The 27,107-nt window shown below is 46.7% G+C and overlaps 1 protein-coding gene and 1 long non-coding RNA gene across 2 annotated transcripts in view, besides 4 other annotated features; one reads left to right on the top strand and one right to left on the bottom strand.

Annotated features, from left to right (window-relative positions):
• The window catches only part of ASB18 (ankyrin repeat and SOCS box containing 18), a 70,948-nt gene extending 62,908 nt beyond the window's left edge, over positions 1-8,040 (top strand). Inside the window, exons 5-6 of the mRNA NM_212556.4 lie at positions 5,114-5,227; positions 6,442-8,040. Of these exons, the coding sequence (NP_997721.2) occupies positions 5,114-5,227; positions 6,442-6,627 (300 nt within the window). The 3' untranslated portion in view covers positions 6,628-8,040. The remainder of the gene's footprint in view (positions 1-5,113; positions 5,228-6,441) is intronic.
• Positions 1-27,107, bottom strand: part of GBX2-AS1 (GBX2 and ASB18 antisense RNA 1) — a 46,784-nt gene that overhangs the window by 12,727 nt on the left and 6,950 nt on the right. The window lies entirely within an intron of this gene.
• Positions 21,144-21,659: an enhancer, noted in NCBI's record as "H3K27ac-H3K4me1 hESC enhancer chr2:237088483-237088998 (GRCh37/hg19 assembly coordinates)". NCBI's record gives its function as "activates a minimal SCP1, AML or CMV promoter by ChIP-STARR-seq in naive H9 embryonic stem cells {active_cell/tissue: H9 hESC(naive)}" and the evidence as "EXISTENCE:reporter gene assay evidence [ECO:0000049][PMID:30033119]".
• Positions 21,660-22,177: an enhancer, noted in NCBI's record as "H3K27ac-H3K4me1 hESC enhancer chr2:237087965-237088482 (GRCh37/hg19 assembly coordinates)". NCBI's record gives its function as "activates a minimal SCP1, AML or CMV promoter by ChIP-STARR-seq in naive and primed H9 embryonic stem cells {active_cell/tissue: H9 hESC(naive and primed)}" and the evidence as "EXISTENCE:reporter gene assay evidence [ECO:0000049][PMID:30033119]".
• Positions 23,119-23,413: a silencer, noted in NCBI's record as "tiled region #229; K562 Repressive DNase unmatched - State 4:PromP". NCBI's record gives its function as "represses a minimal TATA promoter and a strong SV40 promoter by Sharpr-MPRA in K562 cells {active_cell/tissue: K562}" and the evidence as "EXISTENCE:reporter gene assay evidence [ECO:0000049][PMID:27701403]".
• Positions 23,619-23,913: a silencer, noted in NCBI's record as "tiled region #4909; HepG2 Repressive DNase unmatched - State 4:PromP". NCBI's record gives its function as "represses a minimal TATA promoter and a strong SV40 promoter by Sharpr-MPRA in HepG2 cells {active_cell/tissue: HepG2}" and the evidence as "EXISTENCE:reporter gene assay evidence [ECO:0000049][PMID:27701403]".

Here is a 27,107-nt window from a genome sequence, read left to right as displayed (position 1 = left end):
TACTGCCTCAACAGTTATTTAACTGCAGACTATTTAAGAAAGATGAGCCGGGTGTAGTGGCTCACATCTATAATCCCAGCGCTTTGGGAGACTGCAGTGGGAAGATCGCGTGAACCCAGGAGTTCAAAACCAGCCTGGGCAGCATAGTGAGACCTTGTCTCTACAAAAAAAATTTTTAAATTAGCCTGGCATAGTGGCATGCACCTGTAGTCCCAGCTACTCAGGAGGCTGAGGTGGGAGGTTCGCTTCAGTCCAGGAGGTCAAGGCTGTAGTGAGCCATGATCACACCACTGCACTGCAGCATAGGTGACAGAGCAAGACCCTGTCTCAAAAAAGGAAGGAAAGAAGGAAGGAAGGAAGGAGGGAAGGAAGGAAGGAGGGAAGGAGGGAAGGGAACACTGCCTCAAAACTCTTGGCTATGACCCTACCAACGTTCAAAGGGAAATTTATACCATTTTGAAAGTTGCCTTTATTATGACTCTAGGAAAAAAATGTTATGAAATTAACTGAGCAGTCAATCCAAGGAGCATGAAAGACAAACAAAACATACCTAAGGAGATAGGAGAAAGGAGTTAATAATGATAAAGGCAAAAATTAATGGGTTATAATATTTTAAAAGAGAACTGATCAACAAAATCCAATAGCTGATTTCTTGAAAAAAGGAGTAAAATGGAAAAACCTTCAGCAAAACTAAACAGGAAAAAAAGCATTGAAAATACAATTACAGTGAATTTCAAATGAGAAAAGGGTGCTTATTCATCGATAGAGTGAAGATCTCTTCCTTCCACCTTTATGGATCCGTATGGACCTCATTCTACAGCTCTCGGCCCTCTGCCTTCCAGCTGGGTATAGCCAGTGGGGTGTCCCGGCAGCAGGAGGGAGGAAAGGAGAGTGAGGGCAGAACATGCATTCTCTGGGCTGGCTCTTTGCCTCAGGCTAGCTGTGTATCCCCAAGCGAGGACTGCTGCTTCTGCTACGACAGCTCACCTGACTGGCCCTTCAGCCCAGGGTGGTAATACCTCTGCCACGACCCCACATTGCTGCCCTGACCCTTGTCAGTTTCCTTGTACCCACATCTGGTTAAATAGTTCCTGTATCAATAAACACTTCTGGAATGATCCCATATCGAACTCGCCATCTCTTTTTTTTTTAGACGGAGTCTTGCTCTGTCGCCCAGGCTGGAGTGCAGTGGCATGATCTCAGCTCACTGCAACCTCCACCTCCTGGATTCAAGCAATTCTCCTACCTCTGCCTCCCGAGGAGCTGGGACTACAGATGTGCACCACCATGCCTGGCTAATTTTGTTGTATTTTTAGTAGAGATGGAGCTTCACCATGTTGGCCAGGCTAGTATCGAACTCCTGACCTCAGGTGATCCACCCACCTCGGCCTCCCAAAATGCTGGAATTACAGGAGTGAGCCACCGTGCCTGGCTTCTCCATCTCTTTTCTAATGGACCTTGACTGTTATCTATGCAATGCTAAATTTCTTTAAAATGAAGATTATTTTCCAGGAAAATATAGATTAACAAAATGGACTCAAGAAGAAATCAAAATAAAATGTGCCAATAACCATGAAAGAAATGAAAACTATCAAATTACTACCTGCAGCTAAATGCCAGGCATAGACAATGTCAAATGCAAGATCTACTGTGCCTTCCTGATTCCAATAATGGTCTACTTGTTAAAATATTCCCAAGTATTAAAAAAAAAACAAATTTTATCAGATAGTTTTACTAAGTTAACATAAAATGATGTTAAAACTTGACAAAAATAGCTCAAAAAATTATAAACCAAATTTATTAAGAGATTTAAAAATCTTAGTAAATTGAGTCTGGCACTGTATTATGTATACTCTACTATTTCAAATGAGAAAAGTGTGCTTATTAATAGATACGGTGAAGATCTAGCCTGATCTAGTATATATAATAGCATATATATCCCTCTCTGATATATAGTGATATTATCATTTTATATTTTTATATATAATATGTATATTAAATATAGAAGAATAGCCAAATAGGGCCTGTTTTATGAAGGCAAAAATGGATCAGTATTGGAAAATCTTTTTCTTTTTTTTTTTTTTTTTGAAACAGAGTCTCACCCTGTCACCCAGGCTGGAGTGCAGTGGCATGATCTCAGCTCACTGCAAACTCCGCCTCCCGGGTTCAAGCGATTCTCCTGCCTCAGCCTCCCAAGTAGCTGGGATTACACGCGTGCACCATCATGCCTGGCTAATTTTTGTATTTTTAGTAGAGAAGGGGTTTCATCATGTTGGTCAGGCTGGTCTTGAACTCCTGACCTCAGGTAATCCACTTACCTCAGCCTCTCAAAGGGCTGGGATTACAGGCATGAGCCACCACTTCCGACCTGGAAAATCTTTTTCTATCAACTTGGTTAGAAAAAGGCAAAAAATGAAATTACATCTTAAACTTTGTAGTAACCTAGGAATAGAAAGATATTTTCTTAACTTAGAACAGGGTATCTATTTGAAACTAATGTTCAAGGTTATATTTATGGTGAAACATTAGAGACAATCCTATTAAAGTTAGGAATAAGATAATTATGCATGCTATTAATGTTGTTATTTAGCATTGAACTGAAAAGCTCTAGCCAGTGTAATAAGACAAGAAATATTAATATTGAGGAGAAAAAAATATCATTATTTGCAAAATTATTGTCTACCTGAAAATAACCCTAATAAATAAAATGTACTTACAAATCAGTGAAGAAATGAACACACCAATAGAAAAATGAGCAAAAGACATAATTGAGCAATTCACAAAGGAAGAAAAACAAATGGTCAAACAAAACAAAAGTAAATAGTCCATATTGGGCTGGGCACAGTGGCTCACGCCTGTAATCCCAGCACTTTGGGAGGCTGAGGTGGGCGGATCATGAGGTCAGGAGTTCAAGACCAGCCTGGCCAACATGGTGAAACTCTGTCTCTAATAAAAATACAAAAATCAGCCGGGTGTGGTGGCACCTGCCTGTAGTCCCAGCTACTTGGGAGGCTGAGGCAGGAGAATAGCTTGAACTGGGAGGCAGAGGTTGCAGTGAGCCAAGATCATACCACTGCACCCCAGCCTGGGTGATAGAGCAAGACTCCATCCAAAAAAAAAAGAAAAAAGGATAATTGCTTGTAAATAGATTCACAATCTATTCTGCATGGAAAAAAATCAGATTTCAAAATCATATGCAAAGCATTCACCCATTGTTGTCATATATATTAATTTTCTGTCTAAACACATAAAACATTAGCATACACAAAATGTTAATAGTAGTTACCTCTAGCCAGAGGAATATGAATTTTTTTTAGTTTGTCATATTTGTATTTTAAAGGGGTTTTAGGTCTGGAGCTGTGGAGAAGGGAGGCAAGTTGTGAAGTGAGCAGCCTCCATGAGTGACTTCAATACTTTCTTTTGTTGGACTCTGTGTCCATAGAGCCCCAGTAGACATGACGCAGGGCAGGCCCCGGTAGTGGTTCAGGTCATTGCTGCAGATATATGGTAGCTGGGCTTAGAAAAGTTGCATAACCTCTGGTCTCTCAACCAAGAAATAGAAAGAACGATTATACAACACTTGGCAAATCTTAGACCTCAAAAAGAGAGAGCTATGAAATTGCCCTGCCCCTCTCCAAAATCGAATCTGAATTTGGTCCAGCTTCTTTTTTTTTTTGAGACTGAGTTTCACTCTTGTTGCCCAGGCTTGAGTGCAATGGCACAATCTCGGCTCACCGCAACCTCCGCCTCCCAGGTTCAAGCGAATCTCCTGTGTCAGCCTCCCGTGTAGCTGGGATTACAGGCATGTGCCACCACGCCCAGCTAATTTTTGTATTTTAAGTAGAGACGGTGTTTCTCCATGTTGGTCAGGCTGCTCTTGAACTCCCAACCTCAGGTGATCCGCCTGCCTCAGCCTCCCAAAGTGCTGAGCCACTGCGCCTGGCAACTGAATTTGGTCCAGCTTCTAAATCCAACTACTAATTTACAGAAAACAGAGGAAGAGCAGCATGTCCACAAATCCCACAGGGATGTAATCAGCAAAAGCCCCACAGTGAGAAATGCTACAGGACAAATAACCCAGTTCCCACCACAAGTAAGTCACATGAAACAAAAAAGACATCTAAAAATACATCACAGCAACCAGTCTCATTATATCGGCCCTAACTGGAATGATTATTCAAACAAACAAATTATTTTGTTAATATAATGGCATTTAAGAGAAATCTGTGAATTTAAACACTGATTGTATATGACGTGATATTATGAAACTTGTTAATTTCTCAGGTGCTATAATATTATCTTTGTTTCTTCAAAGGGTCATATAAAAGATGCACTGAAATACAGATAAAATTATAGGATACATGGAATTTGCTTTAATCTTAGGAGAAGTGGATGGGCAGGATCAACCATGGGTTGATGGGGGGGGCGGGGATACATGGGAGTTTATCATACTATTGGCACTACTTTTTTGTATGAAGGTTCAAACTTCTCCATAACAAAAAAAAGTTTATTTTTTAAAAGCAAATAGTGTTCCCATCTTTATGGTGAAGCTAATGGACTTGAATTATAAATTTGTGAATAAGGCAATAGGAATCTTTGCCAGTGGGGACTGTGAAAATAAAACGGAAATGCCAAGTCAAGAGGAAATTCAACAGCAAAACAATTCCTCTTCCCCAATTCTCAATTTCCTGACACATCTGAAAATTGAGGTAAGAAATTGGGAACACCATCCTCGGGCCAAACTTCCTCCTAGCAGAACTTCATTCCTTTTCTCTGAGCAGCTCTCTGGGGGCCAAGGAGGCCTGCCAAGCCACCAGCATAGCCCCCCTGGGAACCTGAATGCTTAAGCACTTGGCCCAGACTTTGGCTGGGCGGCCATCATGATGGGAAGGAGGGCTCCCTTGCAGAGCCGTTGCCTTGTGTCTTTGTGTGCACTAATTCATGTGATCCCTGCAGCAACCCTGTGGTACTGCTCTGTTGCTGTTCCCTGTGTGGCTTGGGCGTAGGGAGGTCACACAGCTAGGGAGAGCATCCCCCCACACCCCCCACCCTTTCCCCACTGAGACCCAGAACCCAGTCGGCCTACGCTGCGTCTTTCACCTCTTCCCACCAGGTGCTGAAGACCTGTGCATCTGTCCCCGCAGTCATCGAGGTGCTTTTCAACTCCTACCCTCAGCTCTGCTTGTCAGAGTCCTGGAAGGAAGTGATTCCTGAGGAAGTATTCCAGGCAAGAGGGCTGCCTTTCTGCCCATCTTTAGTACAAAACTTTTGTCTGTTTTTGCTTCTTTGCATGGGGAGTTTTGCACTGATATTCGGCTAAGTATTATACATCTGAAAAAGGAAGAATGGGAAATGAGGGTGTATTTGCACGTTTCTGGTTTTTTCTGGAGGCTCCATAATCACACAGCCAGGAGCTTGTTATAGTAGTTGCGGTGCCATGGCCTCAAGGAGCTCAGAGCCCCGTGCTGGCCTGAAAAGCGCGAGGGTTCCTTAACCAGTGTCCAAAGAAAGGCCAGAGCCGCCTGAATCCACGGGCCTAGCTCCACGTCAGGACATACTAATCCGGCCCTGTGAGTCAGCTTCATGCTCCAGCAGCTCAAGATACGACCAAGGAAGCTATGGGGATTACATCTATCCACGACAAAGTCCACAGGTGACTGTCCATTAAAAGAGAGTGAGAACAGGCCAGGTGCGGTGGCTCATGCCTGTAATCCTAGCACTTTGAGAGGCCAAGGCAGGCAGATCGCTTGAGGTCAGGAGTTCAAGACCAGACTGGCCAACATGGTGAAAGCTTGTCTTTACTGAAAATACAGAAATTACCCAAGCATGGTGGCAAGCGCCTGTAATGCCAGTTACTCAGGAGGCTAAGGCAGGAGAATCGCTTGAGCCCAGGAGGCAGAGAGTGCAATAAGCTGGGATCACGCCACTGCACTCCAGCCTGGGTGACAGAGCTAGACTCCATCTCAAAAAAAAAAAAAGAGAGTGAGAAGAGTTGTGTGTGTTTTTTCTGTTTCACTGACTTGAGTCATGTGTGCATGACTGACCACCAGACCAATGCCATGCACTCGCTCCTGAGCCCCTCCCTGGCAGAAGGGAAGAGCTGGTCATGACTTGGGGAGATGAACAGGGCCACCCCGGAGCTGTAGGGCTGCTGTGCAAAGAGGATGGAGCAAAACGGAATTCGGGGAGACCACCTGGAGCATCTGAAGTCACCCCAGTCAGAATCCCCTCTCACTCGGCAGGAACTGTGCTTTGGGAGAGCACACAAGCCCCTGGGGTAGAGGGTGGTTCCCACAAGATGGTGCGTCTCCCTCCAGTGCGCTTATCTGGGATCAGTTAGCCATAGAAAAGCCCGCTTGTACCATCAGTGGTCTGGCTAAGAAGAAAACGTATGTTGGTTCCACGTGCCCAGATTTCTAATCCACCTGCCTTCCCTTCCAGATGCACAAGCCGTTCTACCAGTCCCTCTTTGCCTTGGCCCTCACCCCACGCTGCCTGCAGCATCTTTGCCGCTGTGCTCTTCGCAGACTGTTTGGCAAAAGGTGCTTTGACCTCATCCCCCTGTTACCCTTGCCAAAGCCCCTGCAGAATTACCTACTTTTGGAGCCACAGGGTGTTTTGCACTGAAACGCAGAACGCTGCAACCAATACTGTTGTTCTCCTCGCTGACCTTCCATGGAGGCCGTGTGTTGGAGAGTGCCCTGATGCAGATGGAGGTGATGGGAGTTCCCTTCCCACTTGCTCTCCGTGGGACCGGGTGAAGCACAGACCTTGCCAAGCTTCAGGTTCACCTCGAAATGGAATTGGCAACAAAAGCCCTTTCTGCCTCTCAGGGTCGCTTGTGAAAATCCAGTGAAATCGTGACTATCACAGCACTTGGTCTGGGAAAGTACCTTTCAACAACAGTTAAGCCAAAAGGTACAGTGAGTCCTCACTTAAGGTCTTCGATAGGTTCTAGGGAACCAGCTTTAAGCTAAATGAGGTATAACAATGCCAGTTTTCCCAAGGTTAATTGATATAAACAAGAATGATGTTCCTACAGCATATTTCTGGTCACAAAAAGATCACCACACTTCTAAATAAAGACCAATACAATTCTAATAGTAAAGATTGAAATAAAGGCAAGCTACACATACCTTTAAAAGAGATTAATAACAAGTAAGATAATTATTTACCCAATTTTTGGTGAATCAGTATGTGATGGTGGTTGTCCTGCTGGTGGGTTAGATCAAGGAATAAATGTTTGCAAAACGAACCTTGTCAGGAGCACCTCCTACCACCACGAAGTTCAGAACAGTCACCAATGTGGCAGGCTTGCTAGGCCCTCTCATACCGCATCATTTATTGTCATGCATTTGGATGATTATTGTATGCCTTATGAATTTTTACTTTACAATAATTTGTATTCATTCATTCATTCATTCATTCATATTCTAATGTGCTTATTCTAGTTCAGGGTCGTGCGTGGCCAGAGTCCACCCCAGCAACTCAGTGTGCAGGGCAGGAACCAGGCCTGGACGGGGTGCTATTCCATCGCAGGGTGCTCACACACCCCCACACCCACCCACCCACACACAACACTGGGACAATTCAGACACGACAGCTCACCTCACTTGCTCAGCTTTGGGATGTGGGTGGGAACTGGAGCACCCAGAGAAAACCCATACAGACAGTGGCCTTGCCCAGGAATCAGTCTTGTTTCTTTTTTGTTTTTTTGTTTGTTTGTTTGTTTGTTTTGAGACTGGCGCAATCTTGGCTCACCGCAACCTCCGCCTCCCAGGTTCAAGCAATTCTCCTGCTTCAGCCTTCCTGGTAGCTGGGATAACAGGCATGTGCCAGCACGCCCGGCTAATTTTTTATTTTTAGTAGAGACGGGGTTTCTCCATGTTCGTCAGGCTGGTCTCAAACTCCCGATCTCAGGTGATCTGCCCGCCTCGGCCTCCCAAAGTGCTGGGATTACAGGCATGAGTCACCATGCCCTGCCGAATCAGTTTTGTTTCTTATCGGTGTTATAATAAAATGACATTAAACAAAACATTATTTAAGGACCTACTGTATATGTATTTTTCCAGTGTGTTAGCAGCCCTCATGCTGCCCCTGAGCCTTGGGACCGTCCCCTCACAGAGAGGCCTCTCACCCCGCTGGGGCCCGACCACCCGGGGAAACTCTGTACCCTAGATCACAACGGACCTGCATGTTGAGAAAGGACACTTGCAACCAAGGCACGTGCACCTGCCCAGGGCCTGTCGGTGCTCTCAGTGCTCCCAAGCATATTACAGCCCAGAGCTCCCCCGGAGGACACCGGCAGGATGGTGAATGGAAGTTTCCATCCTGTGTGAGTCTTCATGTGACACCCTCACCAAAAGCCACTGCTCCAGCTCCAGGAACAGTCTGGGAAGTCAGATGCCAGGAACAGACACAGGTTGATCAAAGGGGCCTTCAGCTCAGCCTGAGCGTCACATGCCAACAGAGATGCTCTAGACAACAAGGACTATATCAACCTTGTCTTATTTTCTCTATTCCATATATATATACACCTTGGGGTAGAGGGTGGTTCCCACAAAATGGTGCATCTCTCTCCAGTGCACTTATCTGGGATCAGTTAGCCATAGAAAAGCCTGCTTGTCCCATCAGTGTCTGGCTAGGAAGAAAACGTATGTTGGTTCCACGTGCCCAGATATATATATGCCAGAATCTCACTCTGTCACCCAGGCTGGAGTGCAGTGGTGCAATCATAGCTCACTGCAGCCTCGACCTTCTTGGCTCAAGTGATCTCCTGCCTCAGCCTCCCATGTAGCTGGGACTACAGGTGCACACCACTGCACTGGGATCATTTTTTCTATTTTATATAGATGATGGGATCTCGCATGTTGCCCAGGCTCTAATTCCTGGCCTCACGTAATCCTCCTGCCTCTGCCTCCTGAGTAGCTGGAATTGCAGGAGTGAGCCCCCTCCCCCAGCTTACTTTCTCTATTCAGATGCTTTGACATCTGGGGCCTTGCTGACCCAGGAGGAACTGACTGCCCCCCACCCACCAGGCTTAGCTGGTTCTTAGCAACAGTAAACAATTCCACACAAAGCATGCTTTTCCAATGTTAGCCAACCAATCTGGAGCCCAGAGCCCACACCTCAACCACCTCTTATATCCCACTCTTTCTCACATGCCAGACCACTGTCTACTCCAGAGCAAGTGCCACACAACTTGGGAAAGTCCTATGCCCCAGAGTCTGCTGAAATTATCCAAACTAGACAAACTTCAGCCTTGCCCTCTCTTGCCCATTCCTCCCCTGCCTCCTGAAAGACCCTGGGGCTTCCTCATGGGCTGCCCCCATGTCATAGCATACCCTCTCCTCTTAGGAACAATGATCAATAAAACACCTTTTCAATAGCAGTCATCTCCTGATCTGTTGGCCCTATGAGACATCAAATTTTCTATGAATACACTGTATTTTAAAGCAAAGACTCTTCATGTTCATCCTCCAAGGACAAGCAGTGGCTCTCTTTTTTCCATTACAGCCAGCGCAAGGTGCTGCCCCAATGAACCTCAGAGGAGACACTCCCTCTGTATTGGTCTGTTTTGCATCACTCTAAAGGAACAGCTGAGGCCGGGCAATTTATAAAGAAAAGAGGTTTATTCAGCTCACAGTTCTGCAGGCTGTACAAGAAGCATTGTGCCAGCATGTGCTTTTGGTGAGGCCTTTCAAGAAGCTTTTACTCATGGCAGAAAATGAAAGGGAGCCAGTGTGTCACATGGCAAGAGAGGGACAAGGGAGAGCGAAGGAGGTGCTGGGCTTTTTAACAATCAGTTCCCAAGTGTACTAATCCAGCAAGAACTGACTCAATACTGCAGGGAGGTCACCAAGGCCCTGTGACCCAAACGCCTCTCATGAGGCCCTACCTGCAATGCTGGGGATCAAACTTCAACATGGGATTAGGAGGGAACAAATATACAAACCATACCACCCTCCCATTGGTAGAATCTGGAAAGGGAATTCAGACCCCAGCAAATAACTGCAGGGTGAGGTGGGATGTTATATGCACCATAAGTAAAGCCCATCATGGAGTGAAAGGGGGGCCCAGGCAGAGCCCAGGAAGTGAGGATGGACATCATGAAGGAGTTAGCCAGGGTGCACCTTGGTGGACAATCAAGTTTTAACACAGTGGACCTGCCCAGGGAGTGATAAGACAGCATCCCCCAGCTCCATCAGCTGACCCACCTTCACCCACCCTTTGAGATGGACAATTGATCTGTCCTACAAAAGGGCTACGTAAACCCAGCTTCAAGACCCCTCAGATCCCCATCCCAGGCAGATGACTCTCCCCAAGCCTCTCCTACATAGACTTTCAGGAGTTACCACTGCCTCCAAAGGAAAACTTGAATGAAGGCAGGTGTGCAGGGAAGTACAGGGTTCCATGGAGGGATAGTGATTTATCCTCCTGGCTAGGAGGATCCCCATGCTTTGGCAGCTGGAAGGAGGCAAGGCTAGAGAAGGTGGGGGCAGATCAGGAGGTACTTGGCTTCCAGACCAAGTATTCTGAACTTCACTGGACAGGCTGTGAGGAACCACGAAGCAAGTGAGCAGGTTTGGTCTCAGTGGGACTCTAGGAAGATTGCTTTGTCCTGGAAAGGGAAGCAATACACTGGAAGATGAGTAGCAGCCCAAGGTAACACCTTAGAGATAGGTTCAGAGCTTCTCCACTGACCAAGAACAATGACTTAACTGAAATTGGTTCAATTTGCTTACCTGGGAAGTGAACATATCTGCGCCTCTCTCACTTACTTAGGAATTAGTAAGATGTCTGGTGTAAGGCAGGTCTTCACCAAATTTGAAGGGATCTTGTTGAAATGCAGATTCAGACTCTAGAGGTTTGGAGTGGGGCCCAGATTCTGTGGCTCCAAGCATTTGGATGTTTCTGTTAACCTTGGATCCTGATCTGCAGGCCCCACTGAGCAGAGAAACTGCAAAAACCCAGGCCCAGAGCCCAACCCAGAGAAAGAACTTGATAAATGGTTCCTTCTGTTATTAGGATTGTTTTATCATTAGAAAAAGAAAACAGCCCAATATTAAGATAGAGACTGTAAAAAATGGGGAAAAAAATAGCAAATTTTTTTTTTTTTTTTTTTTTTTGAGACAAGGTCTCACTCTGTCACCTAGGCCAGAGTGCAGTGGCTTGAATGTGGCTTACTGCAGCCTCGACCTTCTGCACTCAAGGGATCCTGCTGCCTCAGTCTCCCATGCAGCTGGGACTACAGGTGCACACCATCAATTTTTTTATTTTTTGTAGAGATGGGGTCTCGCTTTGTTGCCCAGACTGGTCTTGAGCTCCTGGGCTCAGTAATCTGCCTGCCTTAGCCTCCCAAAGTGCTGAGATTACAGACATGAATCACCATGCCCAGCCAGCAATGTTATTTAAATAGCAAGGGTAAGAACAGTAAGAAATACAGCCACCATGGCCTCTAAGGAGCACAGTCCTCATTGAATTCTGAAAATGGAAATATGCCTGTCTTCTAAGACTATACCCTCCAGCCACCCCTTCCACCCCACCCTACTATAGAAAACAGTTTGGCTGACTTTCTAAAATTTTAAATATGTATTTAAGAGTCCTGGAAGAAGGCAGAGCTCTTTTAAAACATACTGACGATCGAGACCATCCTGGCTAACATGGCAAAACCCAGTCTCTACTAAAAATACAAAAAATTAGCCTGGCATGGTGGCATATGCTTGTAATCCCAGCTACTCGGGAGGCTGAGGCAGGAGAATCACTTGAATCCGGGAAGTGGAGGTTGCAGTGAGCTGAGATTGCATCACTGCACTCCAGCCTGGGTGACGGAGGGAGACTCCATCTCAAAAAAAAAAAAAAAAAAAAAAAATACTGACTTGGCCAAGCATGGTGGCTCCTGCCTGTAATCCCAGCACTGTGGGAGGCCAAGGCGGGTGGATGACCTGAGGTCAGGAGTTCGAGACCAGCCGCTGACCAACGTGGCAAAACCCCGTCTCTACTAAAAATACAAAAATTAGCTGGACACAGTGGCAGTTGCCTGTAATCCCAGCTCCTTGAGAGGCTGAGGCAGGAGAATCACTTGAACCTGGGTGGTGGAGGTTGCAGTGAGCCGAGACTGCACCACTGTACTCCACCCTGGGTGACAGAGCAAGACTCTGTTTAAATAAATAAATAAATGAAAACATACTGACTTTACACTTCTAAAAATCTAATAAATAATAATCAATTATTAGGTTTCCAAAAGCTTATTTTTCCCCAAATTGCAGCTTAAAAACAGCAACACGATTCTCACAGTGATCCCCAAAGGTCCCCCCATAGCTGCCTGAAGTTTTGCCAACATGGAGGACTTATTTCTTTTTCATTATTTTCACCCCTAAGAATTTTTAAATTCAGATGCTCCGGGGAAGAGTTAATCCATGAAGTTCCTTTGGAATAAACCATTCACTCATTTGTTGATTTATTTTTAATTTTTTTTTTTTTTTTTACATTTTATTGTGGTAAAAAGCACATAATATAAAATTTTCCCGACCGGGTGCGGTGTCTCACACCTGTAATCCCAGCACTTGGGAGGCCAAGGCGGGTGGATCACGAGGTCAGGAGTTCAAGACCAACTTGGCCAAGATGGTGAAACCCCGTCTCTACTGAAAATACAAAAAAAAAAAAAAAAAATTAGCCAGGCGTGGTGGCGGGCACCTGTAATTTAAGCTACTCGGGAGACTCAGGCAGAGAATTGCTTGAACCTGGGAGGTGGAGATTGCAGTGAGCAGAGATCGTGCCACTGCACTCCAGCCTGGGAGACAGAGTGAGACTCCATCTCAAAAAAAAAAAAAAAATTCCTCTTAGCTATCTTAAGTGTACAGTTCAGTAGTGTTAAATAGATTCACACTGCTGTGTAATAGTTCTCTAGAACTTTTTCACATTGAAAAGCAACTCCCTGTTTCCCCTCCCCCCAGCCCTGGCAGCCACCAGTCTACTTACTGCCCATAATTTTGACTGCCCTAAATACCTCCAACTAAATGGAATCATACAATATTTGTCCTTTTGCAGCTGGCTTCTTTGATTCAGCGTAGTGTCCTCAACATTCATTCATGTAGCATGCCACAGGATTTCCTCCTCCTTTTTTTGGAGTCAGGGTCTTACTCTGTCACCCAGGCTGGAGTGCGGTGTCATGAACACAGCTCACAGCAGCCTTGACCTCCTGGGTTCAGCTGATCCTCCTGCCTCAGCCTCCTGAGTAGCTGGGACCACAGGCACACGCCACCGTATCTGGCTAACTAAAAAAAAGAAAAATGTTTTGTAGAAACAGGGTCTCGCGCCATGTTGCTCTAGCTGGTCTTGAACTCCTGGGCTCAGGTGATCCTCCCACCTCGACCTCCCAAAGTGCTGAGACTATAGGCATGAGCCCCCAGGCCTGGCCTCTTTCTTTTTAAGAGCTGATAGGCTGGGCGCAGTGGCTCACGCCTGTAGTGAGCACTTTGGGGGTCCGAGGCAGGCGGATCACGAGGTCAGGAGATCGAGACCATCCTGGCTAACATGGTGAAACCCTGCCTCTACTAAAAATACAAAAAATTAGCCGGGCGTGGTGGCAGGCGCCTGTAGTCCCAGCCGCTCGGGAAGCTGAGGCAGGAGAATTGCCTGAACCTGGGAGGTGGAGGTTGCAGTGAAGCGAGATCACACCACTGCACTTCAGCCTGGGCGACAGAGCGAGACTCTGTCTCAAAAAAAAAATAAAAATAAAAATAAATAAATAAAAGCTGAATAATATTCTGTTGTATATACCACATTTTGTGTATCCACTCATCTGTCAATGGACACTTAGACTGTTTCCCCCTCTTGGCTATGGTGAAGAATGCTGCAATGAATATGGGTGTGCAAACAGCTCTTCCAGATCCTACTTTCAATTCCTTTAGATGTATACCCAGAAGTGGGATTGCCAGATGATATGGTAGTTCTGGATTTAATCTTTTAAGGAACCTCTATATTATTTTCCATAGCAGCTGCACAATTTTACCTTCCCACCAGCAATACGCAAGAGTTCCAATTCCCCCACATCCTCATCAACACTTACTATTTTCTGGGTTTCTTTTTTTTTTTTTTTTTCTTGACATTTGCTCATTCATTTAACTATCACTTTTGAAAGTCTGCCGGGGGTGGAGCCCAGTGCTTGGGGCCAAGGATCCATCATCAACAAGACAGACTTGACTGGTGCCCTCCTGCTTGTGGTGCTCACAGCCAAGTATAGGACAAGTTGTCTCAAGGCTGCTGGAGAAACTTGGGCATATGAGGAAGGCATGGAGAGAAGGGCCCCATTCTTGGCCATGTTCTCTCTGCCTATGGGCCTGTGTTGAACGGGGGCTGTCGTATTCCCAGGGCGGGTGGCAGTTTGTGCACTGTGTGGCTTCCCTGGCCATCGATCTCATCAGTGTCCCACAGGCAGTCAGGTGATTTCTATGATGAGCATTCCCTTAGTCCCACCCTGCCAAGTCAATATCATATGAACTATGGCAACCAGACCTTCAGCCAAGTGCTCTTGGTCAGCATGGACCAAGTCACACAGTAATTAACTGAACCTCCTCAGCTGGAAAGAATCCTTCACTCTGCCCCTAACTTCTCAGGAACATGACATCACAGCTGCAAGAGAAGGGGTAGGAAATCAACTGGCACTAGAAATGAGTTCTAAGTCACCTGGGTTCTAGTGGCTGTCAAGATGTGTTGAATATTGTACCTGATTTATGGATGGCTGTGATTCTTTGAGACAAAAATGGCTAGTGGGTTCTCTGGCCCTATCTTAATCATCAGATGAGATGGAACTTATTCATAGTTTTGTAGTATTTACGGCTAGCAAATTGCTTTGTTAAAGCAAAAAAATAAAATGCCTGACAAAAATATTGTTTCAGTGACTGTGTTTAGCTATGCTCTGTGCTACATGTGTTAGGAAGTTCTACAATTAAAGGACTTGCATAATTCCACATGGATAAGTGTATTAGTCCGTTCTTGCATTGCTATAAAAAATGCCCAAGGCTGGGTAATTTATCAACAAAAGCGGTTTAATTGGCTCAGGGTTCTACAGGTTATATAGGAAGCATGGTGCTAGCATCTGTTCCCAGCAAGGGCCTCAGGAAGCTTCAATCATGGTGGAAGGCAAAGGGGGAGCAGGTGCGTTATGTGGCAAGAGCAGAAACAAGAGAGTGGGGAGGTGCAACACTCTTTTTTTTTTTTTTTTGAAATGGAGTTTCACTCTGTCACCCAGGCTAGAGTGCAATGGCGCAATCTCGGCTCACTGCAACCTCCACCTCCCGGGTCCAAGCGATTCTCCTGCCTCAGCCTCCAGAGTAGCTGGGATTACAGGCATGCGCTACCACGCCCAGGTAATTTTGTATTTTTAGTAGAGACGGGGTTTCACCATGTTGGTCAGGCTGGTCTCAAACTCCTGACCTCAGGTGATCCGCCCACCTCAGCCTCCCAAAGTGCTAGGATTACAGGCGTGAGCCACCATGCCCAGCGCAACACTCTTTTAAACAACCAGATCCTATGTGAACTACCAGAGTGAAAACTCACTCATCACCAAGGGGATGGCACTAAGCCATTCATGAGGGATCTGCCCCATGACCAAACACCACTCACCAGGCCCCACCTCCAACACTGCGGATTATATTTCCACATGAGATTTGGAGAGGACAGATATCCAAATCATATCATTCTACCCTTAGACCCCAAATTTCATGTCCTCCTCACATTTCAAAATACAATTATGTCTTTGCAATAGCCTCCCAAAGTCTTAACTCATTCCAGCATTAAATCAAAAGTCCCAAGCCCCAAGTCTCATCTGGAGTTCCTTCCACCCATGAGCCTAGGAGGTCAAAAACAAGTTATTTACTCCTAAGATACAATGGTGGTACAGGAATTGAGTGTACATTCCCATTCCAAAAGGGAGAAATTGGCCAAAAGAAAGGGTCAACAGGCCCCACACAAGTCTGTAATGGCAGGGCAGTCATTAAATCTTAAAGCTCCAAAACAATCTCATTTGACTCCGCATCCTGCATCTTGGTGTGAGGGGTGGGCTTCCAAGGCCTTGGGTAGCCCCACCCCTATGGCTTCCCTGGATGCAGCCCACATGGCTGCTGTCACGCGTTGGAGTTAGGTGCCTGCAGCTTTTCCACACTGAGGTTGCAAGCTGCCAGTGGCTCTACCATTCTTGGGTCTGGAGGGTGGAGATCCCCTTCCCACAACTGCATCCAGCAGCTGAGCAATCCTGTATTTCCCCTCCATATTGCCCTAGTAGAGTTTCTCTATGGAGGCTCTGTCCCTGTGGCAGGCTTCTGCCTGGGCACCCAGGCTTTTCCATACATTCTCTGGAATCTAAGTGAGAGCTGTCAAACCTCCTTCACTCTTGCATTCTGTGCACCTGCAGTCTTAACACCATGTGGAAGCCGCCAATGTATACGGCAGCTTGTGCTCTCAAAAGCAGCAGCCCAAGCTGTACCTGGGCCCCGTTGAGCTGATGTTGGAGCCAGAGTGGCCAGGATACGGGGAACAGTGTCCTGAGGCTGTGCAGGGCAGCAGGGCCCTGGGCCTGCCCCACAAAACCATTCTTTCCTCCTAGTCCTCTGGGCTTGTGATGGGAGGGGCTGCCTTGGAGATCTCTGAAATGTGCTTTTTCCCATTATCTTGGACATTAGCACTAGGCTCCTTTTTAGCCATTCTAATCTCTCTAGCAAATGGTTGCTTAATGGCCTGCTTGTATTCCTCCCTTGAAAATGTTTTTTCTTTCTCTGCCACACAGCTAGGCTGCAAATTTTCCAAACTTTTATGCATTGATTCTCTTTCAAATATAAGTTGCAACTTTACGTCATTTCTTTGCTTCCCTGTCTAACTGTAGGTTGTTAAAAGCAGCCAGGCTGCCTCTTGAACACTTTGCTGCTTCGAAATTTCTTCTATCAGGCTGGGCACAGTGGCTCATGCCTATAATCCTAGCACTTTGGGAAGCCAAGGTGGGCAGATCACTTGAGGTCAGGAGTTCGAGACCAGCCCGGCCAACATGGTAAGGCCCCATCTCTACTAAAAATACAAAAATTAGCCAAACACAGTGGCAGGTGGCTGTAATCCCAGCTACTTGGGAGGCTGAGGCAGGAGAATTGCTTGAACCCAGGAGGCAGAGGTTGCAGTTAGCCAAGATCATGCCACTGGACTCTAGCCTGCACGACAGAGCAAGACTCCATCTCAAAAAAAGAAAAAGAAAAAGAAAAAAAACAGACTTTCTTCTACCAGATACCCTAAGTCATCATTCTTAAGTTCAAATTCCACAAAGCCCTAGAGCATGGACACAATGCAGCCAAGCTCTTTGCTTAGGTATAACAAGGGTGACCAGTTATACCTTTGCTCCCGTTCCCAGTAAGTTCCTCATTTCCATCTGAGACCTCCTCAGCCTGGCCTTCACTGTCCATATCACTATCAGCATTTTGTCACAACCATTTAACCAGTCTCTGGGAAGTTCCAAACTTTCCCTCATCTTCCTGTCTTCTTTGGAGCCCTGCAAACTCTTACAAACTCTGCCCATTATCCAGTTCCAAAGTCGCTTCCACATTTTCAGGTATCTTTATAGTAACACCCCACTCTTTGGTACCAATTTTCTATATTAGTCTGTTCTTACATTGCTATTAAGAAATACCTAAGGCTGGGTAATATATAAAGAAAATAGTTTTAATTGCCTCAGGGTTCTGCAGCTTATACAGGAAGCATGGTGTCAGCATCTGCTCCTGGTGAGGGCCTCAGGAAGCTCAATCATGGTGGAAGGTGAAGGGGGAACAGGCATGTCACATGGTGAAAGCAGGAGTGAGAGCAAGAGGGGGCAGGTGCCACGTTCTTTTAAACAACCAGATCTCACGTGAACCACCAGAGCAAGAATTCATCCCTCACCAAGGGGATAGTGCTAAGCTATTCGTGAGGGATCTGCCCCCATCACTCAAACGCCTCCCACCAGGCCCCACCTCCAACAGTGGAGGTTACATTTCAATATGAGATTTTGAAGGGAAAAACATCCAAACCATATCAATAAGAAGAAGAGAAAGAGCCAGTCACAGTGGCTCACACCTGTAATCCCAGCACTTTGGGAGGCCAAAGCGAGTGGATACCTTGAGCCCAGGAGTTCGAGACCAGCTTGGGCAATATGGTGAAACTCCATCTTTACCAAAAATACAAAAAATTAGCCAGGTGTGGGGGCATGCACCCATAGTCCCAGCTACTCGGGAGGCTAAGATGGGAGGATCACCTGAGCCTGGGAGGTGGAGTTTGCAGTGAGTCAAGATGGCACCACTGCACTCCAGCCTGGGTAACAAAGTGAGACCTTGTCTAAAAAAAAAAGAGAGAGAAAGAGAACAAAAAGAAAGAGGAGATAGAGAAGGAGGAAGAAGAGGAGATGGAGAAGGAGGAAGACAAGGAGGAGGGAGACAAAACCAAGAAAAGGAAAGGAGGCAATTAGAGAAGCAGGGAGGGAAAGAAGGAGAGAGGGAGGTAAGCTAGTTGATAAACATCTAAAGAGGCATTCTACTTTAAGACTAGAATTATCTTGGCTTACTTCTTTTCCAGTGAACAAAATATATTCTGGTTTGTTTGTTGGTTGGTTTGTTTGTTTTATTAAAGGGTCTAAAAACGTTTTCCTTTCTTACACAGTTCACACTGAACATCATTCTTTTTCTCACTGAGTGTATTACCTAAACTCAATTCTACAAGGCCTAAATTATTTCCTTTAATTTCAAATTTAGTTTTTAATGACACATTCACACAGCTCAAAATTCAGAAAGTAACAAAAGAGTAAAGGATGCGTTTACTGGCTGTTTCTACTTTAAAAAAAAAAAAAAAAGATAGCAGAGGGCCGGGCACAGGGGTTCATGCCCGTAATCCCCGCCTTTTGGGAGGCAGGAGGATCATTTGAGCCCAGGAGTTCAAGACCAGCCTGGGCAACACAGTGACACCTTATCTCTACCAAAAATTTGAAAATTCACCGGGCATTGTGGCATGCGCCTGTGGTCTCAGCTACTCAGGAGGCTGAAGCAGGAGGATCACTTAAGCCTGGAAGGTCAGGGCTCCAGTGAGCTATGATTGTACCACTGCACTCCAGCCTGGATGACAGAGTGAGACCCTGTGTCAAAGAAAAAAAAAAAAAGACAACAGAGGAATATTTTGCCTCCAACTTTTATTGAATGTCTTTGATTATTACTTGTCATTTGACGACAGAGAATTAAAAAAGAAGTGGCTGGGCACAGTGGCTCACACCTGTAACCTCTGCACTTTGGGAGGCCTAGGAAGGTGGATTGCTGGAGTTCAGGAGATCAAGACCAGCCCGGGCAACCCTATCTCTGCCAAAAATACAAAAAATTAGCCAGGTGTGGTGGCACATGCCTGTGGTCCCAACTACTCAGGAGGCTGAGATGAGAGGATCGCTTGACCCTGGGAGGCAGAGGTTGCAGTGAGCTGAGATCGTGCTACTATACTCCAGCCTGGGTGGCAGAGTGAGACCCCATCTCAAAAAAATAAAATACACAAATGAAGCTCTCCACTAATATTGGTCCTGGGGAGGCTGGCCTCTGTCCGCACCAACCATGTCCAGGACAGGACGAAACATTCATGGTTGGACCATCAGACACAATCCACAGTCCACAGGCAATTAGTACACAGACCCAGTACTGTGTGACGTGTTATGTTTAAAACTCTGAACCCAGCATTAGGCCTGCCTTTTTAGTATATTTACGTTGATTTAAGTTACTTGATAATCATCGACTCAGTATGGTTTAAAGAAAATCAAAGCCACTGACTCTTTAAGTCTATGGAGCATTTGCTGATCCCAGTTAACTGTATATAATTGTCAAATTTCCAATCTCTGAAATGACCCTTTGGACACACACTGATGGGGCAGGCTGTTGAACTTTTGCAAAGAACACTTAACCTTCTGCAGAAATGGTGTAAAATACAGGCTTGCGGAATGAGCTGGTCCACTCCAGTGCCCCCACCTCCTGTCCACGCCAGGCACCTAAGAAGCTGCTCAATCACTACAATTTCGGGTGCTATTAGCTTGCCAAGTGCTTTTCATCTTTTAAGGGCTGCCCAAGGGCCAAGGGATAAATCAGGAATGTTGTATCTTTTATTCCATTATTTTAAGGATAAATTACTGCTTAGTCAAATTTGTTATGTCCAGATGGGATATGCAGAAACCCCTGTATTTCAATTATGGTCAATACTGCATCTCATTTCTAGGATTTAAGTGTAGTTTGAGAACATCAAAATCCTTTTCAAACTCCGGGATTTGCGTTGAAATTGTTAACATCTTTCTCTGTTAAAACAAAAATTAATTTCACTAAATTGCTAAAATAAGCCTGAGGAATCTAGAACCCTGCGGAAGATTGAATAGGTATTGAAATTCATTTTCAGAGAGGCCTGCAGGTGGCGCCATAAGCAAACGGTCTTACCCTCTCCCACCAACCTACTCTCCCCAGAATTTAAAAAGGAGGAAAACAGGAAGATCTTAGCTCACATGATAAAGGGGAGGGGAGCCTACGAAAACTACAGATTCGTAAACTATCATATAGAATCGTGCTGCCATAATAAAAAATTCAATAATTAAAATATTGATTATGGAATTGCCTGCTTCCTTTGTATTAAATATGTGCAGTTTATAGTTAATGTGTTTATAAATAAATATAATTTTCAGTTGAATTTTTTATGATACCATAATAACATCCCAATCCTCATTTGTGTGTTAAACGTGTTCTTTAACAAAATTATACATTTACTATTGCAATGTAACTAGCTGGGTTTTCAGCCTTCATCTAATTTTCCAGAATGGTATTTCTGCAGTCCTAACATTCTTTGCTTAATCACTCCGATAAAAACGGTGGATTTCTTTGTAATGCAATTTGTAAGCAAAAAACATGATTGAGAATGCAGTATTTGCTGTCAACTATGTTTAACACAGGGTTTTAATTTAGCGGGTAATTATTCATTTGGTAGACGCTTTTTCCATTCACATTTATTTTCCCTGCTCTTAAGAAAGTTCGTAAGTTTGGAGAACCTTGGAAAACCAGGGTTGTGGCGTATTTGATGTAAGCCAGAGTTTGATACAGATGTTATCGCAAGAGAACATTTTTTTTATCTGCTAAAGACAGGAGGTCACATTAACTCGTAATACAGACACATAAAAATGTGATTATGGGTTCTAAACAGAACGCAGTAGGCTCCTAGTTAACACAATGAGATTTCTAGGAAGTGATGCATAAATTCTTCAAAAATGACACATTTCTCACGTTCCATTCCAATTAAATTACTGAGGCAGCTAACAGCCATGAGCACAAAGTACGGGATAAAATGAGGGTTTGCTTCTTGTAACTGTGTCTCTGTGAAAGTATATTTTTATGAGAAGCAGTTAATATTAAGCTATTATTTTTCAGCTGTGCTGGAAGGGATGTCTTGAGCCTTTCTTGTCGCGCTCTCCCCAGAAGAGCCTCCCCCTTTGTTTCTTGGGTTTGCTGATAGGAAGAGCGCGTTGCTCCACCGGCTACCGCCTTCACCTGGGGCTTTGGAGTGAAAGGGACCAGCCCAGGAAGGGGTCCCCAGCACCAGTCCCCAAGGGTGGGTGTAATCGCTGCCCAGAGGCCCTCAGCCAGGAGATTCAAAGGTGGGAGGCGCCCCCTCCGCTCCGCTCCCCCTACCCGCAGCGCCCGGCCGGGACGGGAGGTGCGGGGCTGGCCCCCACTCGCGATCCGCGAACACGCGGGGCCTGTCCTCCACGCCCAGCTCAGGCTTCAGGGACACGAGCGCCCCGCGGCTGCGCGGCGTGGGAGGGGGTTCCGACAGCCTGCGGAGCCCAGCCCCACCCTCCCCAGACCCGCTGGCAGCAAGAGGGGTTCAGGGCTGTTGCCCCGGGAAGGAGGCCCGAAGAGCTTGCAGCCGCCGGGAGGGGTGGGGCGGGAGGGGGCGTCGGAAGACAAAAGGATGTGAGGCTTTAAATTCAAAAAGATGTTTTGAAAGCCAAGCGCTGGGGTTTGAAAGGCGCTGGGAGGACGGCGGCAGAGCGATCCCAATCAGAAATGCGATTTGAAGTCCTAATGAACTTGATTGCGTGAACATTTATAATCCCCCATGGCCCTAAATGAAATCAGATATAATCAGAAGATACAGGGAAGGGAGTGTTTACAGCCGACGCCGGGCGGCCGCGGGACGGGGAGATGCGGCCCCGGTATTGATGTCGAAAATGATGGATAACGCGGGAATGGCAAATATACTATTTGTCTAATGGCTCGGCAATTAAATTCCCCTGTAAATGACCCATGCCTCATTTCATCCTAATCTATGGAATTTTGATTGAATTCGTCAGCTCTAATTGAAAAATACTGCACTTTAATGTCTGCATTGCAGTTTCAGGACGAGAGTGGTTTTAATGAGACAGTGCCCCCATGACCCGGGAATATTTGAGACTTTTATTCGGAATTTAAAGCCAGGAGATTGCTCGACTGAGCCCTGAGATTTCCTCTCCTGTATCCACGTCCATCCATCTCCAGACGCGATTTAATAAACGCACTTAAGGATAAATGCGCCCCCGACCCTCGCGCCAACGTGTTACCCCACGGGCGCCCCTCCTCGGAATAAGGGACGGCGGAGGCCGGGGAGGCGGGGGAGTTGGGGGGCTCAGAAGGTCCTGGTCCCTCCCCGGCCCAAGTTTCCCTGCCCTCCCTGCCACCCTGGTCCCCAGGCACTGTCGCGGACCCCAGACTCCGCCTTCCCTAGGCCAAACCTAGGCGACCTCCCTGGACTAGGAGGCCTGGCTGCCTGCCACCCGCGCACCGGAAGAAGGGACTCGCGCACTCGGAGAAGGGGCCGGGCCCCGACGCGCTTTATATGCAAATGGCGAGGCGAAGCCATCCCTGAGAAATTAGCTACTTGCTGAAGCATATTTACTAGATTGAAATGAGTTAAAGAGAAACATTTTAAGTCGTGCAAACGAGATAATTGGGCCGCATTAAAGCTGGGGATGTTTGCTCCTTTCAAAAAAAAAAAAAAAAAAAAAAAACCGCCGGAGGAGGAGGAGAGCAGTAAAAGCACGCGTAGAAATGAAGCCCCAGCTGGTCAGAGACCGGAAATCCGGTAGTGCACGGGACGGGTTCCCTCGGGGATCTCGGAGGGGAGACCCCCACCCGGGAGGACTGGAGGCAGCGCCTCTCCCGCCCCGGCGCGCGCAGCCTATTTCCCTCTTTCCAAGGGGCCAATCCCCACCGCGGCCCGCAGGGGGCGCGCTCAAGGCAAGGTCCCGCGGCGAGAACGGTGCCCAGTGGGAGCGAAGGGCGAGGCCAGCCCTTGGTCCTTGGCCGGCAGTTCGGGTCCCGCCTCCAAATTCGCCCCCCTCCCCCCCGCCATCTCCAGCGGTGTTCAAAACTCTGATGGCATGGGGGGGTTGAGGGGGTGGCCCTGGGGAGACGGAGTGTGGGGGCAAGCAAGAGGTCTAGGTGCACGCGTTGCCTATCCCTGGCCCACGAGAATGTAGCTAAGGTTTTGCACACATATTTAAAGTAAAATAATCAAAAATGACAGAAAAGGCTTCTCCCTGGGAAGGCCGTGCCTGGCGCCCTGGCGATGCCAGACTTGGTGCTGAGAGCAGACGACAGAGGGAGGACTCTCCAGGGCCAGACACGGCCTCCGCACCTCCGTCTCGGTTCGTGCAATGGGGATGGCGCTGCGCCCACCCAGTAGAGGCGCTCGCGAGCTCTCCCTTCCCAGGAGAGGCGTCGTATGTTGTGAAATGTCACACTGCATCCTGTTCCATTGGGTGGCCTCTGGTCTGTTTTTAGATGTTCCAGAGGCCGGGCGCGGTGCCTCACGCCTGTAATCCCAGCACTTTGGGAGGCCGAGACAGGTGGATCACTTGAGGTCAGGAGTTCGAGACCAGCCTGGCCAACATGGCGAAACCCTGTCTCTACTAAAAATACAAAAATGAACCGGGCGTGGTGGCACGTGCCTGTAATTCCAGCTACTTGGGAGGCTGAGGCAGGAGAATCGCTTGGACCTAGGAGACAGAGGTTGCAGTGGGCCGAGATTGCGCCACTGCATTCCAGCCTGGGTGTCAGAGTGAGACTCTGTCTCAAAAATTAATTAATCAATTAATAATAAATAAATAAATAATGCCCCAGAATCTGGAGCCCAGAGGCTGCCCTCCCACGGCTACTCTCACTCCGAGAGCACAGGCTTTCGCCCCTGGCTGGCCCGCGCTCCCCAAGCGCCCTGCAGCGTGCTCGCTCCTGCAGCTGCCCTCCTGAGCATCCTCTCTGGGCCAGGCGCCCGGCCCACGTGTGCTACACGATCGAGTTCAGTGCCCAGTGCCCATATCAACTCGTGCTATATTAATTATCCCCTTTTTGAGACACAGTCAGGCCGCTGGTGGAGGAGAGCGGGGATTCCTGCCCACTAGGCAAATAGAACCGCAGATGGGGAGTGGCCTCAGCTGCAGCCCAGGACCCTCAGGCCCAGACGTCCGACGGCTTCCTATCTATCCCCTTCCGGGACCTGCTCAGGGTGAGGCAGAGCCGGGAGAACCTTACATGGATTCTATAAGGAAGCCGAGGCAGATTTTCTAAGATCACCTCCAAAATCTGACGGTATTTCTTACACCTTCAGCAATCACGGAGGTCTGATATTTTTTCCCCATCGTTTATGACAAAGGCTTCTCTGGTGGCCTGGATGTTTAAAATGAAAAGAAACTGGAGATCTTTTTCCTGTCCAACTATAGGACATACCTCTCAGCCCTTCTGACCCCTGGGGATGGACAGTCCTGTCCTACCCTGGATCAGAGCCCAGCCAGCCTCCACTGCGGATGCCATTACTTACGCAGTGCATAGGGGGCGCTCCGGGTGCTTGAGCGCCCTGCACACCCACGAGGCTCTTCAGGTTAATACTTCAAAAATTGTGAAGGCTTAAATAAAACTGTTTCCTGCCATTCCCTCATTAACTATAAAATCTATAGTACTTATTTGAGTTATGTTTACAGATAGGAAATAACCTTGTTAGACAGCTAAAAATATAATGTAAAACTACATTATAAAGTTCACTTCATTTTAAAGTATAAATTTCCAAATAACTTAGAATATGGGGAATTAAATGAACGTGAAGCTTTTTTGGTTAGAATAAAGTTAAACTTTAAAAAGTCACTCATCTCTTAAGCTTTCCAGGATTGTCTTGTTTGTGCTTTAACTGGGTCTACAAGAAACTTGAGAACGGGGAAATTGATAATAATAACCAAGAGATAGACTAGGAATATCAAGGTAACAATTAGATTCTAAAACACTCACCTGCATAAAATAAGGAGATGGGGAGGGAATGAGGTTGGGTAAGTAGGGGAAGAAGAAAGTCCCTGAACTCAATGGAGGCATCAAAGTTGATCACATGATATCCAGTCCAATCATCGTCATTTTCTGAGCCATGATCAGTTTCAGCTCTTTCTAAAGCTTCAATGTTCATTATTGTCACAGACTTCAGGGAACAGGTTTGTCCAGGTGGAGACAAGCCAGATTAGCTTCTGACTTTGGTTCATTTCCCATACCCATACTAGTTTTTCTCACATGCCCAGAGGGAGAGCTGGGAGACAGAGGGCCTGGAAGAGGCCCATTCACAAAGTCACTGTCAGCGGTGGCTGCTGTGCTGTGGCCTGGTCACACTAGGCATCTGACACACACGGGACCCCCCCAGAACCAGCCCCCAGCTCCTCTTCTGGTGTCAATGGCTATGTCCCCTGCAGATAGCAATTGCCCGCCTCCATGTGTGGGTGTAAAGGAACCGCAGGGAAATGACACATGGTCCTGTGAATGACTTCCCCCTGCAGGGGTGTTTTAAAGTCACTGTGCAGAATAAATACTAGATAGCGAAGTCTGAACACCTTTTCTTTAACTCTGTGTTCATCATTTGGAGAGAAAGAAAAAAAAAACACTTGCTACACACACACACACACACACACACACACACACACACACACACGGACCACATGCCCCATGCAAAATGTTTTCATTTCCTACAAAACCCAGAAATGTCCTCTAGGAATGTCTGAGAGACAGCATTCTGGATTCCAACAATTTTCTGGATTTTTCCCACTGTGACTCAAAGAATTACTCTCTCCTCATTCCCTCAGGTTCCTATTTATTTCACACACACTCTAGCAGTTTTTGGTCACTCGCTGGAAATACTTTGGGATCTTTGGATTTGTTCTCTGACCTCACTCTTGGTTCCCTCTTTTTCTAAAGCTTGGGAACTTCAGGCCACACCCATAGGGAGATGTAATTGTTTGCAGCAAAGTCATGCAAATTGAGTTCTCCGTATTTTTTCCCATGATAAATGGAAGAAACTCAAAGGTTTCAAAGGCCAAGGAGGTCACCATTCCCAATTATTTCTGCAATCATCAAGAAGGGGCTGTGTACTTAAAGAACCTGAGGCACTGGGAACAATTGCAGATCTAAAAACAAAGAGGCTCTCCTTCCTGTGAACTCATCCCGACCTTCTTGGCCAGTGGCAGAGAATGATCAGGAGGTGTGACTTAACTGTGGAACTGTTTGAGATGGCCCCAGCCTACCTTGCATTTCTCATGGCTCAGGAGCTGGCTCAGCCTCTTGTGAGACCATGACCTCACAGCCCACCTTGGAGCCCAGGATAGGTGAGGGTTCCAAGAGCCTGAAGGGGGTGGGGGCAGTTGAGTCTGTCATCACTGGCTCTGGTTCTCCAGGGCTTTCAAGTCTCTCAAACAAGAGCAAAGATCTACCCTAGGATGCTCCTCCGATAAGGAAATGTGTCTGCCCCAGCTGGCTTCAGGGCAAGTGTTCTTTTCTCTGATTCTGTAAGTCTGGTGCCCTACTTTAAGTGAAGTGATCCTGTTTACTTTCTTTAAAGGACGGGAATCTGTTGCCCTCACTTTTTTGTTAACAGAATGGACCCCCCACCACCTCGCATCAGCACACACTCCCCTCCTGTTCTCTCCTGGGAAAAGTCCGTCAGTTAGGGTGATTTCCCTAAGGAGCTTTCTCTGATAGGCACAGGGATCCTTTAGAGCAATGTCAATGGGGCTAGTTGATCAGTTACAG

The sequence above is a fragment of the Homo sapiens genome, chromosome 2 (assembly GCF_000001405.40).
Source record: "Homo sapiens chromosome 2, GRCh38.p14 Primary Assembly".
Lineage (NCBI taxonomy): Eukaryota > Metazoa > Chordata > Mammalia > Primates > Hominidae > Homo > Homo sapiens.
The sequence above is the reverse complement of the archived record's forward strand: the minus strand, read 5'-3'. Positions and strand labels throughout refer to the sequence as shown.